Below are 6,343 nucleotides of genomic sequence, written 5' to 3'. Positions count from 1 at the left end.
TGGGGATGCCTTTCTATCAAGCCTGAACATAGCTGCCAAAACATTCTGTGACTTCAGGGCCTCGATTTTTTCTTTTTTCATGTTTGAAAAACAAAATCTGTGAAGCTGAGTGTCCCCAGTAAGGATAATAAATATCAGAATTTGCTCACAGCCGAAAGCCTGCAAAGGCATGAGGTTACTCGGTATCTGCCACAATAAGAAAGAGCATCTTGGTCTCCTGACTTCTCTGCTTACACCTCCTGCCCTAGAGAACCTGCTGTAAGGGAGGTCTTGGCTACACTGAGGGGGGCAGACATAGTTGATCAAAGTCCCAGACAGCTGGACTTAGCTGCTTCCATCAGTGTCTTCAAGGTCCAGCAGCCATAGAATAATTTCAAGGTCAGACAGTGGTTTTGCTGATTACTCTACTGTAAGCATGTTTTAAAATGATCTTGTAGATGCTGAGTTACCAGGTGTCTATTCCCAGGGATGCTGTCTCAGTCCCCTTGCCTGATCCTGTTGAAAAGGCAAAGGTTTCACTGCATTTTCCAACAGCTGATGAGTCATCTTGCATATCTTATAGTTGCTCTGCTCCTGCAGTTGCCATAGGGCAAATTGGAGCCCATTCCGCAGCACAAGTCTGCTGCAGAGCTATTACAGAATACTTAATTAAATTAAGCCATGAGGCAGGAGAAAACTGTGCCATAACCTTCATATTCTGTGAAACTTTTCATCGTTTGCCAAGCACCAATTTCCTAAAAACGGGGGCTGTAGCACAGCACCAGGAGACCAAATCCTAAAATGGAAATTGTGATTGTTTATGGTGTGTGCATGGATGCTGAATCACAGAAGCAGGGAGGGAGTAGAGCCAAAGTGCTGGGCATGTGAAGGAGGAGGACACCGTACACAATGACCTTGAAATCTAAATTAGCTCCTGCTAATTAGATGAAGCAAACTATTATTTCCATTTCTGAATTCATAAAATTGTTTTGTTCTCAAGGAAAATGAAACATCTGTTCTACTGGGCTAACTCGGTTCTGAGTAAGTTTGTACTCTTATGTTTTGAGGTAGCAGGGGGAATAAAATGGGCCTCCATCCTGGCAGCAGAGCCTGGACCCCAGCTTCCTGATGACACACATTCTTGCCTGGCTTCCCCAGGGGATCTTGAAGGGCAGGACCAGCCATAATCAGTGAGGCTGCTAAGCTCAGGAACAGTGCCTATCCCTTTCTCTTTGCCAGACAAGCTAGTGTTCCTACACAAGAAAATTGCCCCAAAGGAGGACATAGTATTTATTGAGCACCTACTATATGGCATTCTGTACTAAAGCTTGCATAAAAAAATGATCAAATGTAAACCCTACAGTGAATCTGAAGCTCAAGGATGTAAATTTGCCCAAATTGTCCAAGTGAAAGAGGAAGGATGTAAGCCTAGATCTCACTGGTCTCAGAGCTCGTGTTCTTTATACCATATTTTCCTTTTACCATAACATAGGCAAATTCTAGAGAAAGCTGCACAATGTTTGTCAGCTTCCAACATGGAATGCTGACACATGAGTATCAGCAAGAAAGAGCAGGAAGTTACTACTCTCTGGATTTTCTTCAGGGGCTTTAAAGATGACTAGCCACATGGCCTAATAATAGCTGAGGAGCTGTCAGCTCCTCTTCAGGTCTTCATTTTATTGGCTGAGTAATTGTGGACAAGATCATTTTACATCCTCAATTTGTGAATTCAAAGAAAAGAGTTATACTAATCTAAGTGGTTTATTCTGAATCTTTTGTTTGTTTTTTGAGGCAGGGTTTCACTCTGTTGCCCAGGTTGGAGTGCAGTGATGTGATCATGGTTCGTTGCAGCTTCTACCTCCTAGGCTCAAGTGACCCTCCCACTTCATCCTCCTGAGTAGCTTGGACCACAGGCCCATCACTAGATTCCACCAAGAGGAATCCATCACACCACCATGACTGGCTAATTTTTAAATTTTTTGTAGAGGCAGGATCTCTCTATGAATCTTTTGGACTGTGAGTTTATAAGATAAATAAAGCACTGACCTGGCTTTGGAGCACAGATGTTCCGGCTTTATAGATTTAACCATGTACAAGCCCCTGGGTTGTTCATATTTCAATACCTGTGTATTGGCTCGTTCTCACACTGCTATAAAGAACTATCAGAGACTGGATAATTTATAAAGGAAAAAGGTTTAATTTGACTCAGTTTTCCATGTCTGGGGAGGCCTCAGGAAACTTACAATCATGGTGTAAGGTAAAGTAAGGCACCTTGTTCACGAAGCGGCAGGTGGCAAGCAAAAGTGGAAGAGCCCCTTATAAAACCATCAGAGCTCATGAAAACTCACTCATTATCATGAGAACAGCATGGGGAAAACCGTTCCCACAATCCAATCACTTCTCACCAGGTCTTCTCTCCCTAAACACCCAGGGATTACAATTCAAGATGAGATGTGGGTGGGGACACAAAGGCTAACAATATTACCCACCTTGATCATTCTCTTCATTATGGTGATTGTACTCTAGGAACAATAGCTCCCACCTAAATCGCTGTCCTGAACATAACTTCCAACTCAGAATTTCATTCAAGAGGACAAAGGGGCCTAGAACATATTGTGGCCAGAGTTGTAGAAACTATTGCAACTCTTGCTCCTCGGGCAGGTTTTACTTACCATAAAATCATACTACTAGAACTTACCATCTCCCTTGAAATAGCCTTAGCAAAAATTGGTGCAAGTATATCAGCGATACAAAAGTCTTTAGACTCACTAGCAGGAATGGTTTTTGATAATAGACAAGCTCTGTGTTACCTCCTAGCTGAATGAGGAGGAGACTGTGCTGTCATCAACAAAACCTGTTGCACCTACATTAATGTGTCTGGAGAAGTGGAGACTGATGTTCAAGACATTTTCAAACGAGCCAGATGGTTACATACACTTTATCAAAGTAACCAAGAGTGGATCAAACCTGTTACTGATTGGTTTCCAAAAATCACTTGGCTTCTTCCATTCCTTGGACCTTTGTTCCTTGTCATTCTTTTGATATTTGGTCCTTACTTTTTACTGCTTTTACTAAGTTTGTATCTTCCAGATTACAGAGATTCCACCTACAGGTGACTATGCAATCCCAATACCAGCCTACAACAGTAACTTCCATTTACGTGGGGCCTCTTGATGGAATCTAGTTTCTCCCCATCCCCCACCCTTGAACGAGTTTTTCATGACCCTTAATTGCTTTCGTGACAGAGAACAAGAAAGGGAAAAACACAACCTATCTCCTTCAGTGCTCCCCTTTCAGCAGCAAGTAGCCAGACAGACTCGATGCCCCTCTTCACTATGGTGTTTTCCCTTTCTTGAGACCCCAATAGGCAGCAGGTAGACATGAGGCATGGGGGAATATAAAGGGTCAAAGATTTGACCAAAATATTTGTCAGAGGGAAAATGAGGAGAGCAAAATCACCTGGAGACTATTGAACAAGCCCCAGAGAAAAAAACTCCTTGTCTGAGGAATTTAGAAGGGAGCAAATACCACCTGGTAACTATTAAACAGACCATCCAGAGGCAAAACTCCTTATCTAGAAAAGTAAGAAGTAATTAAACTTCCCTAGTATCTAAAGTCAGCATCTGGTTCCAGGCCTCTTTCAACTTGGATGAGTATAATAATTAAAATTTCTCTGCATCTCTGGAATGCCATGCCAAAACTCATTTCATAACCCTAAGCTTCTACCTTAAGGTCCATAAATGCTCCTCAGAAAAAATCCACCGTGGTACACTCAGTCCTCCCACTGAGGTGCTCCGCTGCACCCTTTTGTAGCATTCTTCCTTTCTAATAAACTTTCCTTTTTCAATCCTATACTGTTGTTGGTAAATTCTTTCTACCAACCCGCGTGTCAACCACTTCCCAGTGCTGGGGCTATGACACCTTGCCGGGCACATATCACTATCATCATTTTCGCCAAAACCATTCTACAAGTCGCTAGGAAGTTCTAAGCTCTCCCACATGTCTTCTTCTGAGTTCTCCAAACCGTTCCAACCTCTGCCCGTTACCCCGTTCTGAAGTTGCTTACACCTTTTCAAGTATCTTCTTTATAGCAGTACCCCACTCTCTGCGGTACCAATTCACTGTATTAATCCATTCTCATACTAATCCAAAGAACTACTGGAGACTGGGTAATTTATAAAGGAAAGAGGTCTAATTGGCTCACCATTCCACATGGCTGGGGAGGTGTCGGGGAACATACAATCACGGTAGAAGGGGAAGTAAACACAGCCTACTCCACAAGGTGGGAGGAGAGCAGAGTGAGGAGTGAAGGGAGGAGAGCCCCTTATAAAACCATCAGATTTCGTGAGAAATCACTCACTACCATGAGAACAGCCTGGGGGAAACTGCCCCCACCCCCATAATCCAATCACTTCCCTCCAGGTCTTTCCCTCAACACCTGGGGATTATAATTCAAGATGAGATTTGGGTGGCAACACAAAACTTAACCCTATCAACCTGGTTGTCAACCTGCTGCCCTTTAGGTGGGGAATTTAGAAGGTCACGAGCAGTGTGGTATCTGCTATCCCAGGTGTGGGCACCTTCAGGCATCACTGAATAGGCAGCCTAGGAGACTAATTCTGAGTCTGACAAGCACAGATTGGCAGGGATTGCAGGTGTGATCAACTCCATGCCAGGGACATGCCGTTTCACTGAAATTTTCAAAAAGCTCTGTAGGTATTTCCTATCCAATTATCTTTAAAGTTGAAAGTTACATAAAATTCCATTGATGAGCAGGTGGCAAACTGGGTTTGTATATTGGACAGGAAAGCTTAAAAAAACCACACGGCTATATTCTTTTAATCTTTGGGTAACTAAATTTGGAGTTAGCTTTAGAATCACTAGGTAAACCAATAAACAAAAAGCCTTACATTTAAGTTGACAATTTGACAGATTTTTTTAATCAATAAAGAAGACTACATTTTCAGGCTGGCAAACTATTGGGAAAAGAAGACTTCTGTGGTAATATTAGGTGCCCTTCCTCTCCCTTGCAAATAGTTATACTGTGCCTACGTATGAAGTGGAATTACCTAGAAAATATCCCTGAACACTTAGTCTTGCAAATCAGCATTCTATCCAGAATAACAAATTACATATTTCACTGATTTATACGGCATGTTCATTTCATATGTTTTACTCAACCCACACATCTGGAAAACTTGTGGGCTTGTTCTATGCAAGGATATCTTTGTACCTCTTCAAAGGACTGAGCACTTAGGTTGGGTTTGATGCTACGGTCAATAAGGAAATCTTCTTTATAAGGCTGACCTAAATGTGGTACATATATACCATGGAATACTACACAGCTATTAAAAAAAGAACAAAATCATGTCCTTTGAAGCAACATGGATGTAGCTGGAGGCTGTTATCCTAAGGGCTTTAATGCAGGAACAGAAAGCCAAATACTGCATGTTCTCACTTATAAGTGGGAGCTAAACATTGGGTACTCATGGACATAAAGATGGGAACAATAGGCCCTGGGGACTAGTAGGGGGTGAAAGGGTTGAAAAACTGTCTGTTGGGTATTATGTTCGCTACCTAGTGAATGGCATCATTCGTAGCCCAAACCTCAGCATCACACAATGTACCCATGTAAACAAACCTGCACATGTATCCTCTGAATCTAAAATAAAAGTTGAGAAAAAAAAACAACCTGACCTAGTGAAGAATGCTCAACTAGAGGGCTTTATTTTTGAGACCTTGAGAAGATGCGAGAGGGGATGGAAGGAGGAAGAAGAGAAATGAAGGGTTAATTTTAATCTTGGGTTCCTGGGTGGAGAGGGAGCCAAGACAAGCGTAAAGGTATATTTAGTACTCATGCATTCACTGCAAAATCTAGTCTAAACTTTGAAGCCTCCATTCCTTGAACTCTGACCTATAGTGTTTTTGACCATGACTTAGCAAGCTTGGTTCTACTCCTACATTTCTGATTTTGTTGTAACAATTTACAGGTTACTCTTTTCTTGATCTTAGCTTTAAAGGTCACTATGATCCCCTAGATTCCTCATGTGCTTGCCAACCTATGGCAACTGAGTCTCTCGCTGCCAGGGATACATTCTGTAGATGTCCAGTGTCTACAACGTTCCAGGCACTGTCTTAGGCAGTGGGCATACACAAATAAGACAGTGTCTTTGTCTGTCCTCAATGAACGGATGGTCTGCTGAGGGAGGAGTTGCAGTTAACTACAAGTTCTGAGATAGATGGAAAATGCTGTGTTGGAGAGTGTATGGCGTGCTATGAGATAGCAATGAAGGAACACTCAAGGCCTGGAAACTTGGAAATAGGTCATGGAAGGAATCCCAGAGAAGGAAACTCTCTTTATCCA

Source organism: Homo sapiens, chromosome 8 (genome assembly GCF_000001405.40).
Source record: "Homo sapiens chromosome 8, GRCh38.p14 Primary Assembly".
NCBI lineage: Eukaryota > Metazoa > Chordata > Mammalia > Primates > Hominidae > Homo > Homo sapiens.
This window is presented reverse-complemented; position numbering follows the sequence as displayed.